Consider the following 17,311-nt stretch of genomic DNA (forward strand, 5'->3'; position numbering starts at 1 on the left):
TTTGAGACAGAGTCTTGCTTAGTTGCCCAGGCTGAAGTGCAGTGTCGCAGTCTCGGCTCACTGCAACCTCCACCTCCCAGATTCAAGCAATTCTCTCACCTCAGCCTCCTGAGTAGCTGGGATTACAGGTGCGCACCACCATGCCCAACTAATTTTTGTATTTTTAGTAGAGATGGGGTTTCACCATGTTGGCCAGGCTGGTCTTGAACTACTGACCTCAAGTGATCCACCCACCTCAGCCTCCCAAAGTGCTGGCATTACAGGCATGAGCCATCACGCCTGGCCCTCCTTTGCACACTTTGCATGGCCAGGTGTTTGGCTGGGCAAGTACACAAGATATGCCATCCCCCAAGTGATGAGACAGGCCCAGTTTTCCATAGCTCTAGCCCACGGTTTTGAACACTTGAATTGTTCAAGGATGTTGTTAAAAGCTGGGAGTGACCTTCATGCTGTTTTGACAGTTGGTGTGGCCCAGGCACCCACCAATCAGCCTAGGCTCCTGCTGTAGCCACGGCAGGGCCTTCTCAGTGTGCACCTGCTGTGTGGCGTCCCAGTAGATACTCCTCCTGAAATTGAGCCCACCTGTGCCAGACACCATGCTTATAGGCACTTCACAGATGTCCCCTTGTTGAATCCTGCCACACTCCGCCTCACATTGTACAGTAGAAAACACAGGGGCCCAGAAAGGCTGTGCAACTTGGCCCAGAGGATGCAGCTAGCCAGCAGAGGAGCCAGGATCTGAAGCCTAGCCTTGGCAGCCCTAAAGCCCATGCCAGCAGAATATCCGATGCGGTTTCCAAGACTGTCTCAGGCACCTCCAGGGTGTCGCAGAGACCCGGGCCCCGATCTGGATCCTGGTTGGAGGCAGCCCATGAAGTATGTTTCTCCTTCCAACGTGCGTGGCTGCTCTAGGGCCCAAGTGAAAAGTCACGGCCCCACTCGTGAAGGCCTGCTAACATGTACAACCCCAGCCAGCAGAAGGCTGGGTGGTGTGAACCCCTGGGGGAGGAAGGCCTGGTGCTTTCCTAAAATCAGCAGCAAAGTGGACCCCAGGGAGCCCACGTGGGTTCATCCCACATGAGGCAGTGAAACCAGCTGATGCTCAGTTGGGTTTTCCGCCTCCAGCCTGCGTCCAGCTCAGGGGACCTTAGATTTCCTGCCTGAGTTTGAAAACTCTCCACATTTATCCCAAACACGTTCTCACCTTCCCGTGGGGACCTCAGCCTGGCTCCCAGGATTTAGGCTCAGGCTGTCCTCTTGGTTTTGTGGACTTGAGACCTGATCCAAGAGATCTCTCCACCCGCCCGGCCCACACGTGGCCTTCCAACCTCTTAGTGGCTCATCTCCCTGCATCTTATCTTCCCTGGGTTTGGGCACCCCACTCCCTGTCTCAGTGAATTATTGTTTTCCAAGCAAGCAGGATTAGGATAAGTCCCTACTGTGCACAGCATTCGGGATACAATGTGGCAAAAAGCATGATCTTGCAGGCAGGCGGGGTGGCTGAGGCCTATCAGGTGGCCACCCAGAGGCATGTGCAGTTACAAACCGTGACAAAGGAAAGGTGCAGCAGGTTCTGACAGCCGATGCAGAACAGTGCGGGAGGCTCCCAGAGGTGGCATCGCTGCAGATGACAGCCGGGGGATGAGGGGTTGGTGAGGCCCTGGTCCGTGAGGAAGGTGGCCTTTGGGTCTCACATGAGGCCACCAGGGTCCCAAACCACATCTCCTAGAGACCAGTGGATTCCTTTTGCCCATCTCCCTGGGGTCTGCCTGTACATTCTGTCTTCCCAAATGCAGACGGGCCGTGGGCAGGGGGGAGGACACTTTTGAGGAACATTCCCCATGCCCATCAGGGCCGCGGCCTATAGCCCAGCGGTAGCTTCAGGCCCAGTACAGGTGAGGGCCTCTCAGCTGGAAGGGGGAAGGGGACAGCCCCGAGGGGTCACTGACTCCCTGGTCACCCAGAGGCTCCCTCCGTGTGCAGCACCTGCCTCTGAGCCTCCTTCGCACGCCAGAGGCAGAGCTATGGGTGCCCTGGAGTGGCTCTTTCAGTGCTGGCCCCAGACCAAAGGGAGAGTCAACACCGAACTCCCTGATGACCCGAGCAACTGTGCCCCAGGGCACTTTAATGGCCAGTCCTTTTGAGAAGTGTGGTGAGATCCTCCAGTGCTCTGTGGGGAGAGCCCGACACCCTCCCCACGAAGTGTCCAGGAGCCAGGCATCTTGTCGCCCACACATCCAGCAGAGCTATCCTGGCAGGCCTCAGCCAGCCCCTAGTGAGAAAATTGCAGGGTTGGAATCAGCATTTTTTCCCCTTAAACATTTTATGGTTTTGAGAAGCTGAACTTGCAAAGAATATACAGCGGGAAAGTGAAAAAAGACCCAATTTTAGAACCACATGTGGGGCCACAGGAAAACGTTAGAAATATCTTCTGGTATACCACTGTGCACCCACACAGTGACACTTCTGCATACACACAGTCACACATGCCAATGCGCATGTTCATACAGCCACACATACAAATGTGCATGCATAGTCACACTCCCACACAGTCACACACATGCCAGGGCACATACACACTCACACATACAAATGTGCATACATAGTCACACACACCAGTACACATACACACTCACACATACAAGTGTGCATGCATAGTCACACTCCCACACATACACAATCACACACATACCAGGGCATACACACACTCACACTTACAAATGTGCATGCATAGTCACACTCCCACACACATACATGCACACAGTCACACACATGCCACTGCACATGCTCACATACACAAATTTGCATGCATAGTCACACACACATACACAGTCACACATGCCACTGCACATGCTCACACAGTCACACATATACAAATGGACTTACATAGTCACACTCACATACACAGCCACATTCACATACATGCACACACTCATACAGTCACACGCATACAAATGTATGTACGTGGTCACACACACATACCTGCACCTACACATACACACTCACACATAGATGCACACAGTCACATACACACACACACTCTGAGTGAGATGCCGATAGGAAAACCATCTCCTCAGATAAGAACTCTGACCTACAGTGAGTTCCTTAAATAGCCCACTCACACCTCTGAGCTCCAGATTAGTTGGAGTTCACATACATTCCAAGTGAACTACCTTGGGGAAGACAGAAAACTGTTTGATCAAAAATGAGGACAGTGTGAATGTCAGCCTGCTTATTTATTTATTTTTAATTTGGGGGAGCACATAGTAGGTGTAATTAAACATTCATTTTTAAAAAACAAAAACGGCCAAGTGCAGTGGCTCATGCCTGTAATTCCAGCACTTTGGGAGGCTGAGGCGGGTGGATCATGTGAGGTCAGGAGTTCGAGACCAGCCTGGCCAACATGGTGAACCCCCATCTCTACTAAAAATACAAAAATTAGCCAGGCGTGGTGGTAGGCGTCTGTAATCCCAGCTACTCGGGAGGCTGAGGCAGAAGAATTGCTTGAACCCGGGAGGCAGAGGTTGCAGTGAGCCGAGATCATGCCACTGTACTCCAGCCTGGGCAACAGAGCGGGACTCTGTCTCAAAACAAACAAACAAACAAAACCACATTGGGTTATGAGTCATGGCCACCTTGATTGTCCCCTGAGGTTTTATAGAAAGAAAGACAGGTCTGGCTGCTGTTGACGGCCCAGTGCAGGGAGCTTCCCCGGCTTCCCTCCCATCTGGACCCACCCCTGTGCCTGTGTCCAAGAGAGCCCCCTTCACCCCACCACACCTCCCATTTGGGCCAACTGAGAGTCAGATGACCTGAAACCCACCCACATGCCACTCAACTCGGTCACCACTGTCCCGCTGGAGTTTTAAGGACAGAAACCCCAAGTAAGATATCGTCCCTTTTCTCAGTTTTCTCTGTGGCATCATCCTTTTTTATTGTGGTAACATACGGGTAACATAAACTACCATTTTCGCCGTTTTTCAGTGTATAGTCCAGTGGCATCTAAGGACCTTCACATTGTAGTGCTCTATGGCGTCACATTCAAGCTGTGTGCTCACCCGCCTTCATCTCCGAGAGTGTGGTTTCTCCCTTCGCAGTGAGATGCTCCCGACGTTTTTATTTCAGCCAATTAGAAGCCCCACTCGGCCACCTGGCACCTGGTCTCCGCTCTCCTGCTGTGGTTCAGTCTTGATTTTTCAAAGGCACGGGTCACCAAGTCGCTGCCCAGTTAGGTGGCTGAGGGAGAGGCTCGTGGAGAGGCTCGTGGAGCGCCTCGAGCATCTGAGCTTTCTCAGGACTCGGAGCTGTGCTGTTGGCGTCAGCGTGTGACACCAAGAACCTCCTCACTTGGGGTCAGAAATCTGCTTGATTCACTTAGCTGGTTTGATGCCAGTCCTCCAGCCACACACCCTGCCCTCCTCACACTGTCCTGAGGATGCCGGGTTTTCGTGTCCTGACTCCTGGGCCATGTCTAAAACTGACAGGTGATTCTGTTCTTCCGTCCCCTGAGGCTTCCGACCAAGACCAGATGTTGCGGATGAACCCATCTTTCCTTTCCAACAGGACTCCACCTTCTCTGCCCCTAACCCGGTTAAGTTGCACGAGTGAACAATTTGGTTCTCAGCGATCCCGACCCTGCCTCATCCTGGGGGTTGCATGGGGGGTGTCTTCTCTGCATGGGGGGCCAGCGCCCCATGCACCGGTGGCCACAAGCCCATGCTGGGCACTGCCCCACGACCCTCGCCCCTCGTCAGTGCTCAGCGTCCGCTGCTGCTCAGTGTCCCCTCCATGTCGCCTCTGCCGTCCCATTGTTAAAGGCTTTCTATGATCTGTCGCTGTGTTTTCCCTCTAGTCAGGAGTGGCAGGAAAGGACGCCGACGAGTGTTCAGCCTGTCGGAGGCCGACAGTCATGGCGGCCACTGGGTTTAGTGCTCCGAACGGCAGCTGCCACGGCACCTCACGCACAGTCAATTCAGGCAGGTCTCCCCTGTGAGCCGCTCGGGCCGCGACGTCCACTCGCCACGCTGCATTTCCACAGTCGGCAGGGTCCGCGCTGGCAAGGTGGGCCAAGCTGGGCCTGAGCACAGAGCCATTTGCCAAGGCGGCACTTCCCCATTTTCCCCCAAAGTTGGTTCTCCCTGCTCCCTGTCTGGCCTCACCTCATGTGAAGACCAGATCCCCGGCCCTTGACCTTCGCGACAGTCCTTCACCTTCGCGACAGTCCTTCTGAGCCAGACCTGTACAGCCTGGAAACGCTGTCCTTCTCTGTGACATGTGCACCAGTGTCAGGCTCGGCCCGGGCCAGAAGCAGATGCTCCTGCCAAGTCCCCCAGGGGTCCCCCCAGTTTAGGCCATGGGGGTTGGGCGGCAGTTGGCTGGCAAAGTGAGAATTTGTAGAAAGCAACCAAGAAGTCTCCTCATTTCTTTTTTCCTTTCTTCCCCTAGTCTTGATCTAAGATAAGTGGCAAATTCAGTCCTGTTTTGACCGGAAGCCAAGAGCCATTTCCCTCATAGACACATGGATGGATGTGGCCCCACCATCTCCCTTTCTGAGTGGCACCCACACAGCAGTGAGGCTGATCCATGGGCCACCACCCAGCAGCCTGGCTCGCTGTCGGGGCCATCCCTGCTGCCTCCCCTATGACGCTTCTTCTGTGGTTTCTGATGCGCTTTTCTCCATTGGCCGTTGCGCTTGTCTGCTGGGAGCCTTTGCCTTCTTTTGTGTTGAAATCCTATTTTCTCTGAGCTTTGCCCTCCACTTGCTCTACAGGTACCATCCTTTTCTTCCCCACAACACTCAGCCCCACCTTTTCCCAGCCCAGCACAACAAATCCAAGTTTTTGCTGGAAGTCACCATTTGCTTGACAAGGATGTGTTAAGGCCCCACCCTAGGCCTGCAGATCAGTTTCTGAGGTGCTGGCCAGGCACATGGGGGACCTGCTGCCTTGGTGTCCTCACTGGCCACAGCCACGGGATGTCTGTCCGCTGCTTATGGAAACGTGGCCTTCCTGAATGTCCCATTACCCCCTCGGCTCTGTCTCCCCAGCCCGTGGCCAGGAAGTCAGACTTTTCTCCAAATCCCTCATTTCCTGAGCCTGGCCTCAACTTGTGGCCCTAGAGTTCAAAAACACCAGCAGGCATGAAGCCAAGGCTTCACCAGTAACTTTTGCAGCTCAGCACTTGACTAGAAAAAAGTGTCCTCACTGGGTAATTTTCCCCCCAATGAAAACCTGGCAGAGTTCTCCTTTTTCACCTGCCTTGGTTGGATACCCTTGTAGATCAAGTTCAGGAAGCAGTTCTTAAACAACAACAAGGCCATGTCATAGGTGATGGGTAAGAAGAGGTTATTTTTTCCCTATTTAAAAAGAGGCTACTTTTAGCGGGGAAACCAACCCTTTTAATAAAAATTGTTGGTCCTTTTCCTGAAGAAGAAATCAGTTCTGTGCGCATGCTATTGTTAGTTGGTTTGCTCTTTTTGATATATTTGCCTACAAGGTTTCCACATCCCTGATTATTCTCATAACCAAACACCCCATTAAGGAGCAGGGAACGAAGTTGGCCAGCTTCTTTGAATATCTGCATGCAAATGCAGACTTGAGCAAAGAGAGAAAACACTTACATCGAAATTTTAAGAAAACGTGAAGGTAACGCTTGGCTACTTTGTCTCCAGATGGTAGGACAGTGCCATTTGGGGAATTAGTCATTTCTAAACTGCCTCCTCAGCAGCAAAATTTATGTGTGGATCCACATGTGTGTGAGTTTGTCACAGGTCTGCTCATGCCCATTCGAAGCAAGGGCAGAGGCCACCAGAGCAGGTGAGCACTGCTCAGGGAACCACAGGTTCTGAGGAACAGCAGGCAGATCGTGCTAGGTCAGGGCGCACGCCTGAGCTGAAACCAGCCCAGCACCGCAAGCCATCCTTACTGAATGGAGCAAATCAGTTGAAATTCAAAGAAACCAGAATTCGCATGTAGTGTTTACTCAGCATTTCTGGGCTCAGATCACACCTCAAATCACTTTTTCCACTAGTGTTCACCGATGCCCATTGCCACCCTCCCAGAGCGAGGACCAAAGCCTCATGCAGTGGTTTCCTCTAGATCTCTCTCTCTCTCTCTCTCTTTTAAAAAAGACATTAGGAAGAAATTAATTGGGCTGGGCACGGTGGTTCACACCTGTGCACATCCCAGCACTTTAAGAGGCCAAAGCAGAAGGATTGCTTGAGCCCAGGAGTTCCATACCAGCCTGGGCAACGTAATGAGACCCCGTCTCTACAAAAAACTTTAAAAATTAGCCAGGTGTGGTGACACGGGCCTGTAGTCCCAGCTACTCAGGAGGCCGAAGCAGGAGGATCACTTGAGTCCAGAAGGTTGAGGCTGCAGTGAGCTATGATCATGCCACTGCACTCCAGCCTGGGTGACAGAGTGAGACCCTGTCTCAAAAAAACAAAAGAAATGAAATGAATTGTGACCTTTTAGAGTTCATCTTGCCCAGAGTCTTGTGGGGAGAAATGCCGGTGTGTGCTTTGAAATCCAGTCTGTCTCTCGTGCTTTCGCTCCGTGATGGGAGCTCTCTTCCTCTCCCTCTTCCCTTTCTATATGCTGCCTGCTTTTATTTCGTTCTTTGTTTTTCCATTATTTTGCTTTATGTTCCATTTGCTCTTCTGTTTTATTTTGGCCTGACTTAAAAGAGAAAATAAAAAACTAAACTGGAATCACGTTGAACAAAAAAAAATTCTACCATGCTTCCCGGGTCCCAGGCTGCTGTCAGACTCTTAGCTCGATATAGCATCGTCAGCACCTCCCGCCATGGCTTGGGGACCCCCAGCTCTGTGCAAATGAGAATTTGCCTCCAAGCAGGATGCCCACTGTCTTCTTCTCAATGTTTTTAAACACCCGGCATCTGAAGTGCTGGAAGATGTTTTCCACAATGAATTCCAGCTGCATCTGGTGTTTCTGTTCAGGCAGGCTCATCACTGGAAGGCAAATGGGCCAGCATGTGTCTGTAGGATTTTGAAAAGGGCCGGGCACGGTGGCTCATGCCTGTAATCCCAGCACTTTGGGAGGCCGAGGCGGGCGGATCACTTGAGGTCAGGAGTTTGAAACCAGCCTGGCCAACATGGTGAAACCTCATCTCTACAAAAATACAAAAATTAGCCGGATGTGGTGGCAGATGCCTGTAATCACAGCTACTCGGGAGGCTGAGGCACGAGAATCACTTGACCCCGGGAGGTGGAAGTTGCAGAGAGCCAAGATCATGCCACTGCACTCCAGCCTGGGCAACAGAGTGAGACTCCGCCAAAAGAAAAAAAAAAAAAAAAGCACCAAGGAAAGAAATTGCTGCTCCAAGAATAACTGCGTTGGGTGGAACCTCACCTGCCTTGTCCTGGCGTGGTTTCTCAGTGGCCCCTGCCGGGAAGCTCGGGACAATAATGGCCTGAGGAACCACAGCAGCCCCTTGGTGGGTGCTGGCTCAGCACTTTGAGGAGGAGGAGGAGGAGACAGGCCAAGGTTTTGTTTTGGTTTTGCAAGCTGAAAAGTTCTACAGAATTTCCTTTTTTTTTTTTTTTAATATTGCAGTGGGTTCCCTCTTGGGTAAATGTCATCAAATGTATACTCTGGAAATGGCCTGATATTACGAGCACACCCAAGCCCATTTACTTCCCAAACAAGTATTTATCATCAGGCAGGCCTGAGATTTGCCCACACATAAAGCCTGTCAGCTGGGTCTCTGCACCCAGGAACTGTGCTTTCATAAGCCACATGCTGATTTTGCACAGGCCCTGAATTTTCCCCTCATATCACAAGTCAGGGTAACCCTAGGCCCTGCTGTATTTTCCCCAGGCCTAAGTCAGACTGGATTTTGCAGGTTCTGTGTCCCCAAAAGGAGTGAGTGGAGCCACGCTGAGCCCTCACGCCAGCCAGCCACCTCCCACCTAGCTCACCAGGGCCGCGGTTCAGGATGGGAGCACAGGGCGCAGTGCGACGGGGTGTCTCAAGGGCTCAGTGTGTTTCCGGTTTTTCTCCCCCAATCCAGATGCCCCCATGAGTCCAGAACTGCCTAAGCCTCACCTTCCTGACCAGTTGGTAATCGTCAACGAAACGGAAGCAGACTCTAAGCCCAGCAAGAACGTGGCCAGGAGCGCAGCCGTGGAGACAGCCAGCCTGTCCCCCAGCCTCGTCCCTGCCCGGCAGCCCACCATTTCCCTGCTCTGCGAGGACACGGCTGACACGCTGAGCGTCGAATCGCTGACCCTTGTCCCCCCAGTTGACCCCCACAGCCTCCGCAGCCTCACCGGCATGCCCCCGCTGTCCACGCCGGCTGCCGCCTGCACAGAGCCCGTGGGCGAAGAGGCTGCATGTGCTGAGCCTGTGGGCACCGCTGAGGACTGAGTCAGTGCCGGGGCCTCCCTTTGTGTGTGTGGCCCCGCTGGTAGGGACCCCAGTGCCGCTGACTGGCAAGACACACTGGGAGCACCCACCATTCTGTGCGGCCCCCAGCAGCCATCTCAACCACCTATCCCTGCGCTCCCTTGAATGGGAAGAAGCCCCACGTTGTCCTTGAATTCCTTTTTCACTTTGCATCTCTTCACGTGCAGGCTGGGACCAGCGGAGACACCGCGGCGAATGCAGATGACTGCACCGGCCACTCAGGGAGCTGCCTGGGCTCCGTGTCTCTGAGCCCCGGGTGGCAGGACCCACCGGCACCTCTTTCTTCCTCTGTCATATGGCTCCTCTGTCACCAGCCCCAGTGTGCACAGAAGAATTGGACCAGGTCACTGTACGTAGAAATTTGTAGAAAAGCAGACTTAGATAAACATCTCCTTTGGATATTTATTTCCGCTTTTGGCAGCAGGTGAACATTTATTTTTAAAACTTCTATTTAAAAGAAGTCCAAAAACATCAACACTAAGGTTTGATGTCATGTGAAAAGTGTAATAATAACAGTTAAGATTTCATGATCATTTTCACTGGACCTTTCCTGATATTTTGTTTCAGAGTTCTTAGTGTGGCTTTTTCCATTTATTTAAGTGATTCTTTGTTACTCACTAACTCTGCAAGCCTGTGGAATAATGAAGTACCTTCCTGGAAAGTTTGGATTATTTTTTAAACAAAAACAAGGGAGATACATGTATTCTCAGGTACACACAGAGCTGAGAGGGCTGAATGGTTTTCTGCTATAGCAGCCGAGAGGCCTCCCATCATGGAAAGATTTCTCCAGGAAAAGGAGGAATGTAGCCAGCTCCCCACTCAGGACGCTTCCTCATTTCTCTTCACCAAAACCAAACAGAGACAGCTTCCAGCACCTTCTTCAGTGTTACCATCTCTAAGAAGGAACCAGTTGGGACCGTGAAGACTCCCGACCCTGTGGCCATGATGGAAATCAAAGGAAGACACCCTCTACGTCACCTGCCCTCGACTGTGTGTGCCCACATGTGCCGAGAGATGGCCCAGAGCCAGTTCCCCTCCAGCTGCAAGGGCATGGTGTCCCCAGAGCTCTGAGTCTGTCACTCTCCCTCTGCTACTGCTGCTGATCTGAATATGGAAACCCCATGGTTCCCTTCCCCATTCGGACTGGGTGTGTACAAGCAAGGACCCAGATGCATCAGACACAGCCCCCAAGATGTTCCTTTCTACTCGGCCAGCTCGGGAGCCAGACACAGCACTCACAGCCCAGGCCGTGATCCACCCTCCCCAAGTCCACCAGGGCCAGCGGCCCCTCACCTCTCTGGTCACTGGTGAGACCTTCCACAACTTTCCTCCAGACCTGCCAGCAGATGTGCCCACCAGGGGCATTAGGTATCCGCCGGAGCCTGGCCATAGGGTAGTCTCGGGAGCCGCGCTGAGATCTTTTGCCACCTGCATTTTAGAAGAACATGGTCTCTGTCTCCTCGGCCCAGCCAGCTGTCCCGGCAAGGCCTGCCGAGGGCAGTTTTCAACCTCATGAAGGAAACACAGTCCTGCCAAGGAGGGGGAGTGGCGCCCATGGGGACAGGCCTCAGTCCTTAGAAGCCCTCTGGGTAGCTGTGCCCACCCAGCCTTCATGGCTGCAGGTACAAGGACCTTTGCTTCCATAGAGAAAACGCACAGCTCAGAAAGGGGGCCACATGGGCAGAAACCCAAAGGAAGGACAAACCACGACCACCGTGGCCATCTGCAGAATCCCTGGAAGAGAAGGAAGGCAGGGTGGAGCGGGGGGAAGACCATCATGGAGAGAAGGACCACAGCATCAGGAGACGGGACACGCCACACCCAGCAGGCAGCCTGTGTGTTGCTTAATTTTTTAAGAGCAAGAGGGGTAGAGAGGATCAAGCTGGCCCTGGCTGGAGATGGCTAGCCCCTGAGACATGCACTTCTGGTTTTGAAATGACTCTGTCTGTGGGGCAGCAGAAACTAGAGAAGGCAAGTGGCTGCCCCACCCCAAGGCGTGACCAGGAGGAACAGCCTGCAGCTCACTCCATGCCACACGGGTGGGCCACCAGCCTGCTGTCAGAAGTCTCTGGGCTCCAACTGGTCTTGTAACCACTGAGCACTGAAGGAGAGAGGTCTTGGTCAGGGCTGGACAGCATGCCCGGGAGGACCAGCAGAGGATTAAAGGTGACTGGGAGGACCAGCGGAGGATAAAAGACACTGCTCAGGGCAGGGCTTCTACCCTGCATCCCTGGCCAAGAAAAGGGCAGTCCCCATGTGGGCTTGCAGGGTCACTCTCAGGGGCCTCTTTCAGCTGGGGCTGGCAACTTGCGTCTGGGGGACACCTCCAGGTGTGTGGGGTGAGGATTTCCTATAACCAGGGCTCCCAGAAGCTTTGCTTATGTAAGGAGGTCTGGGAGCCAGCCCATTGGAGGCCACCAGCCATTTTGGCTTCAAAGGACCCCACCTCACCCAGGTCTCAGCGGCAGTGGGCACAGCTATGTCTTCAGGAGCTCCCGTCAAACCTCATAGCTGGGGCGCTCCCAGACAGGCCAGTCCAGACAGGACACGCTGGGCCCCTGGCATCCAGAGGAAGAGCCAGGAGTGTGGGAAGGCCCACAGTGGGGGCTGTGGCTTCTGACACTCAGGTCATAGCCTCAGAGGTCTGAGGTCAGCCCCCACAGACCCATCCGGCCCGCCCCCCAAGTCCCTGCAGAGAGCACTTAGAGTTATGGCCCAGGCCCTGGTCCACCCTTCCCCTGTGCACCTCCGGCTGGGTTTGCCAAGTCAGGGAGCAGGGCTGGCCGCAGGAACTCCCAAACCTTGGCTTTGAATATTGTTGTGGAGGTGTGCTCGTCCCTTTCTGGACGTGCAAGGTACCTGTCCCAGCAGGTCAGATGGGGCCAGCTGAGGCGCTCCCCCAGGCAGGAAGGGCCAGCCTTCACCATCGCGTGGGATTGGGAGGAGGGGCCTCCGTGAGCAGCCCCTCCTCTGCCGCTGTCCCAGCCCAGTCCCTCTCCCGGAGCCTTGGCAGCCTCCCACAACCCAGACACTTGCGTTCACAAGCAACCTAAGGGGCAGGTGAAGAAGCGCAGCCCTGCCAGACGCGCTAGATTCCTCTAAGGTCTCTGAGATGCACCGTTTTTTAAAAAGGCGTGGGGTGAACTGATTTTGATCTTCTTGTCTAGATGCAATAAATAAATCTGAAGCATTTAATGTAGTCATCTTGACATTGGGCCTACACTGTACGAGTTCCTTATGTTTCCTTGAGCTAAAAATATGTAAATAATTTTTGTCCCAGTGAGAACCGAGGGTTAGAAAACCTCGATGCCTCTGAGCCTCGGGACCGCTCTAGGGAAGTACCTGCTTTCGCCAGCATGACTCATGCTTCGTGGGTACTGAACACGAGGGTGGAAATGAAAACTGGAACTTCCTTGTAAATTTAAACTTGGCAATAAAAGAGAAAAAAAGTTACCAAGAATGTAGCGTGCTGCTCCTGGGGGCTGTGGCAGGAGGCCGTGGCCTGGCACAGGGGAAGGTTCCCAGCCAATGACCCCTCATCCCGGCGCAGCTGCTTGGCAGGGGTGTGGTGGCTGGAGCCCCTCCCTCTCCCTCCTCCCCGCACCAGGTTCCCTCCCATCCCCAGGTTCCTAAGAGGTTGTCGGGGCTCATACAACCCGGGAATAACTGCTAAGGGGCAGTTGGCACCATCAGGAAATGTCCCCGCCCTACCCCTGCCGGGTACAGGGAGCGTGGTCCACATTCTGCATCTTTTCCCTGTTGGGCAGGTGGCTGCCCATCCAAGCCTCAGGCTCTGCATCTGTGGATTTGGACAGCCAAGCCCTACCTCGCAGGACAAGCGTAGCGAGCAGCGTCATTGTTGCCAGGCTGGGCCGAGGGAAGCAGGAAGGCTCCCCACCGAGGACAGAGGTGAAGTGCGGGGGTGGACATGACTCGGAAACACCAACGTCCACCAGCGTGAAACCCTGAAATCCCTGGAAACAGGATCACAGGTTCTCAAAATCTCACCATCCAGCTTAAACCCTACCCAGAAATGGCAGGGAACTTCTGGGTCTTGAGAGGATAACCAAGTTGAGTCGAGAAAGAATGAACAAGGGACCCCCTTCCCCCACCGCATGCCAAGGGTTGGGGTTATGCCAACAGAAGGAGGAAGCCACTGCCCAGGGCAGAGCTGCCCTCCCATGCCCCCGCCTCACCCGGGTCTCAGGCCTCGTGGGCATTTACATGTCTGAGACCCGCTGGGTGACAGCTCCTCCCTCCTTGCATTCCCAGCCCAGGTTCAAACCCAGGGGTCGCCTGGGGCTGGTTGAGAGGCTGGGGCCACTTCTCTGGTGCCCCCAGAGCATGTCTGTATATCCCCTGCTCTGCGGTTGGAAGTGGCCTGCGTATACCGGCTGCTGTCAGTGTTTTCCCCAGGGCCTCGGGAGGGTTCCCCTCGGTAGCCATGAAGCGAAGCCTCGCAGGGTCCAGTGATTATGCCCAACAGGCCCAGAGCGTCCTGACTCTAGCCGGAGGGCGGGGCCAGCAAGGGCAGGTGGTAGTGACCTGCCTGCGGGTGACCTCTAGGGGAAGACCGATTGCCGGCCAGCCAGCTGCTGGAAACCCCCTTCCCCCACGTCCTACTGCTCTGTGGCACTTCATGGCGTTGGGAAAAAACCCTTAACGTCTAAAGAGCTTTTCTCCAAAGGAAAGTTGGTTCTGAATCACCCATGGGGTGAAGGGGCTTCCTGGGGATTCACTTAAGGCTGCCCGATGGGCAGTGTGAAGCTTCCCTTCCCTCCACAGGCCCCGGGGCTGCTGGCCCTGCTCCAGCCCTGGGTCTACCTGCCCCACTTAGAGACCAGCCACCTGGGCTCCCAGGCCGTGCGCCTGCCTTGGGGCCCAGCCTGCTCTGCAGGTCCCTGCAGTCCTGACACTGCCTGGCTCAGTCTGACTTCCTCCCAGAGGGCAGCACGTGCCCCCTGAACACATGCCTGCCGCCTGCCTGTCACCTCCACTGACGCTTCCTTGCCCTTTTTTTTTTTTTTTTTTTTTTGAGACGGGGTCTTGCTATGTTGCTCAGGCCGGAGTGCACTGGTGTGGTCCCAGCTCGCTGCAGCCTACATCTCCCAGACTCAAGCAAACCTCCCAACTCAGTCTCCTGAGTAGCTGGGCCTACAGGCAAGTGCCACCACACCTGGCTTTGCTTCCTTGACTCTTGGTTTGCCCTTTAAATTCAATTTTTTTAAGAGGAAGACTTTTCGCTGGAAACAGAAAACCAGCACCACTGCAGCATTCATTTCCTAGGGCCGCCATGACAAATGATCACAAACAGGGCAGCTTAAAACAGTAGATATTTACTCTCCCACAGTTCTGCAGGCCAGTCTAAAATCAAGTTGCCAGCAGGGCTGCTCCTCCTGGAGGCTTAGAGGGAGAAGCTGCCTCCTGCCTCTCTCCCAGCTCCGGTGGCTCCGGCACTTGGCGTTCCTCGCCCCATGAGTGAATCACTCCAGTCCCTGCCTCTCCCCACAGCACCTTCTTCCCCGTGTCTGTGTCAAATCCCCCTCTCCTTTCTCTTGAAAGGACAGCAGTCATTGGATTTAGGGCCCGCCCTGATCGACGGTGGTCTTAACTCAAGATCCTTCATTTCCTCTGCAAAAACCCTATTTCCAAATAACGTCACATTCACAGGGACCAGATTCAGGACATGGACACCTTTTTAGAAGGGCTCACCATTCAACCCATTACCCTTGCCAGAAATTAAAGATATAAAAACAAATGCAGCACAAGCAAATCCATATCATTAAATTTTTAGCCAGGTCCTAGCACCTGCCACAGGCTCTGGGCCCAGCCTTGCCTGTGCCATTAATAGGGGAGGCCTATTGGCGCCTAACCAAGATTTTCTCAGTGATAGGATCAGAAGAGCTAAAACGCCGGGCATGGTGGCTCATGCCTATAACCCCAGCACTTTGGGAGGCTAAGGTGGGCAGATCACTTGAAGTCAGGAGTTCGACACCAGCCTGGCCAACACGGTGAAACCCCGTCTCTACTAAAAATACAAAAATTAACCAGGCCTGTGGTCCCAGCTACTCAGGAGGCTGAAACAGGAAAATCGCTTGAACCCAGGAGGTGGAGGTTGCAGTGAGCTGAGATTGCACCATTGCACACCAGCTTGGGCAACAGAGTGAGACCCTGTCTCAAAAAAAAAAAAAAAAAAAATGCTGACAGAAGAAAAGAACCAGCTCACTCTGGGACTAGGGTATTTAAGTCTGAGTCCTTGTACCCCTAAATGTCATCCCAGATCAGAGATGCCACTATGACACACACATATCACAGTGTGTTGCGAACTGTGGAATTCTTTTTTTTTTTTTTTTGGAGACAGGGTCAAGCTCTGTCACCAAGGCTGGAGAGCAGTGGGGCGGTCATAGTTTACTGCAGCTTCAACCTCCTGGACTCAGACGATCCTCCTTCCTCAGCCTCCCAGAGAGCTGGGACCACAGGCACATGCTGCCGCTCCTGGTTAATTTATTAATTTTTTCATTGCGAGAAGGTCTCACTTGTGCAGGCTGATCTCAAACTTCTAGGCTCAAACAGTCCTCCTGCCTCAGCCTCCCAAAGCACTAAGACAAGAGGCGTGAGTCACAGCGCCCAGCCTTGCAATTCTTATTTCAGTTCTCCCTCTCCAATAGACTCACCCACAGGCAACGACTGTGTTTTATTTTCACCTGTTCTGTGGGAGCTGGGTGCAGGCTCTGGCCCATGAGCTCTCTGTGCATGTATGTTGGATGGATGGATGGACTGATGGATGGAGTCATTCTTGGATACAGTTCCAGATTCTTAAAGCCTGAATTCCATTCAGTTCTCCATGCCCATGGCCCTAACTTTCAGCCTCTCCCTATGTGTGCTCACTCTGGTGTCTTCCAGGCCTTACCAGGGCCAGCCAAAGATCTTCAGGAGAATTTGCCCGGGCCAGGTTGCCAAGGGTAGGAGTGTTTGAGGGCTTTCCTCTGCCACCATCAGAAATTCTGTGTCCCCCAACCCTCCACAGGTATCTGAGCTGAGACCGAGCTGCTGCTGGTATCTCAGTGATGAGCGAGACCTCAAGCAGGGTGGAGTAGGTGGCAGTGCAGGCTTTGGAGTTGCTGACGAGGTTCAAGTCCCTGCACCAATGCTCCCCATCCCTGTGGCCTTGAGTACATGGTGAAACCGCATGAGGCTCAATTTCCTCATCTGTAAAATGGGAACCTTTCTGGCAGTGTCCTTGCTTGTGTAGATGAAGTGGGGGCAGGTAAATCAAGCACCTGTACCCAGCCTGGCACATGCAATTTCAGCCAGGGGGTCTCACCAGCGGCCCAGCCAGAAAAACAGGCTTCAGCCCAGGCCCAGGCCCCCTCAGTTACATGTACCCCCTGAGGTACAAAGCCAGCACCTGTGGGGTACAGCTGAGCCCTGGAATTTTTTAAGGTCCCCAGCTGATCCTCAGAGGCAGCTGTGATGATTCAGTTTATGTGTCAGCCTGACTGGGCTAAGGGGTGCCCAGATAGCGGCATGACATGATTTCCAAGTGTGACTGGGAGGGTGTTTCTGCAAGAAAGTAGAATTTGCAGTAGGGTGAGGTGGCTCATGCCTGTAATCCCAGCACTTTGGGAGGCTGTGGTGGGTGGATCACTTGAGGTCGGGAGTTCGAGACCAACCTGACCAACACGGTGAAATCCTGTCTCTACCGAAAATACAAAAATTAGCTGGGCGTGGTGGTGGGCACCTGTAGTCCCAGCTACTCAGGAGGCTGAGACATGAGAATCGCTTGAACCCAGGAGGCAGAGGTCTGCAGTGAGCCGAGATTGGCCACTGCAGTGAGCCGAGATTGGCCACTGCACTCCAGCCTGGGTGACAGAGTGAGACCC

General features: G+C 53.7%; 1 protein-coding gene across 17 annotated transcripts in view, besides 6 other annotated features; it reads left to right on the top strand.

Annotated features, from left to right (window-relative positions):
- CLEC16A (C-type lectin domain containing 16A) overlaps window positions 1-12,885 on the top strand; it is a 237,623-nt gene extending 224,738 nt beyond the window's left edge. For 13 of the 17 annotated variants that reach the window (NM_015226.3, XM_005255214.3, XM_011522434.3 and 10 more), the window contains one exon: window positions 9,034-12,885. In NM_015226.3, the coding sequence (NP_056041.1) occupies window positions 9,034-9,389 (356 nt within the window). In that variant the 3' untranslated portion in view covers window positions 9,390-12,885. Of the gene's footprint in view, window positions 1-4,852; window positions 4,976-9,033 lie in introns of those variants that run through there. The other 4 variants (XM_047433853.1, XM_047433855.1, XM_047433854.1 and 1 more) reach the window with 1 other exon arrangement.
- Window positions 4,873-5,386: an enhancer, noted in NCBI's record as "H3K27ac-H3K4me1 hESC enhancer chr16:11268031-11268544 (GRCh37/hg19 assembly coordinates)". NCBI's record gives its function as "activates a minimal SCP1, AML or CMV promoter by ChIP-STARR-seq in primed H9 embryonic stem cells {active_cell/tissue: H9 hESC(primed)}" and the evidence as "EXISTENCE:reporter gene assay evidence [ECO:0000049][PMID:30033119]".
- Window positions 11,407-11,566: an enhancer, noted in NCBI's record as "active region_10413". NCBI's record gives its function as "activates an Ori minimal core promoter by ATAC-STARR-seq in GM12878 lymphoblastoid cells {active_cell/tissue: GM12878}" and the evidence as "EXISTENCE:reporter gene assay evidence [ECO:0000049][PMID:35858748]".
- Window positions 12,323-13,208: an enhancer, noted in NCBI's record as "H3K4me1 hESC enhancer chr16:11275481-11276366 (GRCh37/hg19 assembly coordinates)". NCBI's record gives its function as "activates a minimal SCP1, AML or CMV promoter by ChIP-STARR-seq in primed H9 embryonic stem cells {active_cell/tissue: H9 hESC(primed)}" and the evidence as "EXISTENCE:reporter gene assay evidence [ECO:0000049][PMID:30033119]".
- Window positions 13,209-14,095: an enhancer, noted in NCBI's record as "H3K27ac-H3K4me1 hESC enhancer chr16:11276367-11277253 (GRCh37/hg19 assembly coordinates)". NCBI's record gives its function as "activates a minimal SCP1, AML or CMV promoter by ChIP-STARR-seq in primed H9 embryonic stem cells {active_cell/tissue: H9 hESC(primed)}" and the evidence as "EXISTENCE:reporter gene assay evidence [ECO:0000049][PMID:30033119]".
- Window positions 13,209-14,190: a biological region, named in NCBI's record as "H3K27ac-H3K4me1 hESC enhancer GRCh37_chr16:11276367-11277253".
- Window positions 14,061-14,190: an enhancer, noted in NCBI's record as "active region_10414". NCBI's record gives its function as "activates an Ori minimal core promoter by ATAC-STARR-seq in GM12878 lymphoblastoid cells {active_cell/tissue: GM12878}" and the evidence as "EXISTENCE:reporter gene assay evidence [ECO:0000049][PMID:35858748]".

The sequence above is a fragment of the Homo sapiens genome, chromosome 16 (genome assembly GCF_000001405.40).
Source record: "Homo sapiens chromosome 16, GRCh38.p14 Primary Assembly".
NCBI lineage: Eukaryota > Metazoa > Chordata > Mammalia > Primates > Hominidae > Homo > Homo sapiens.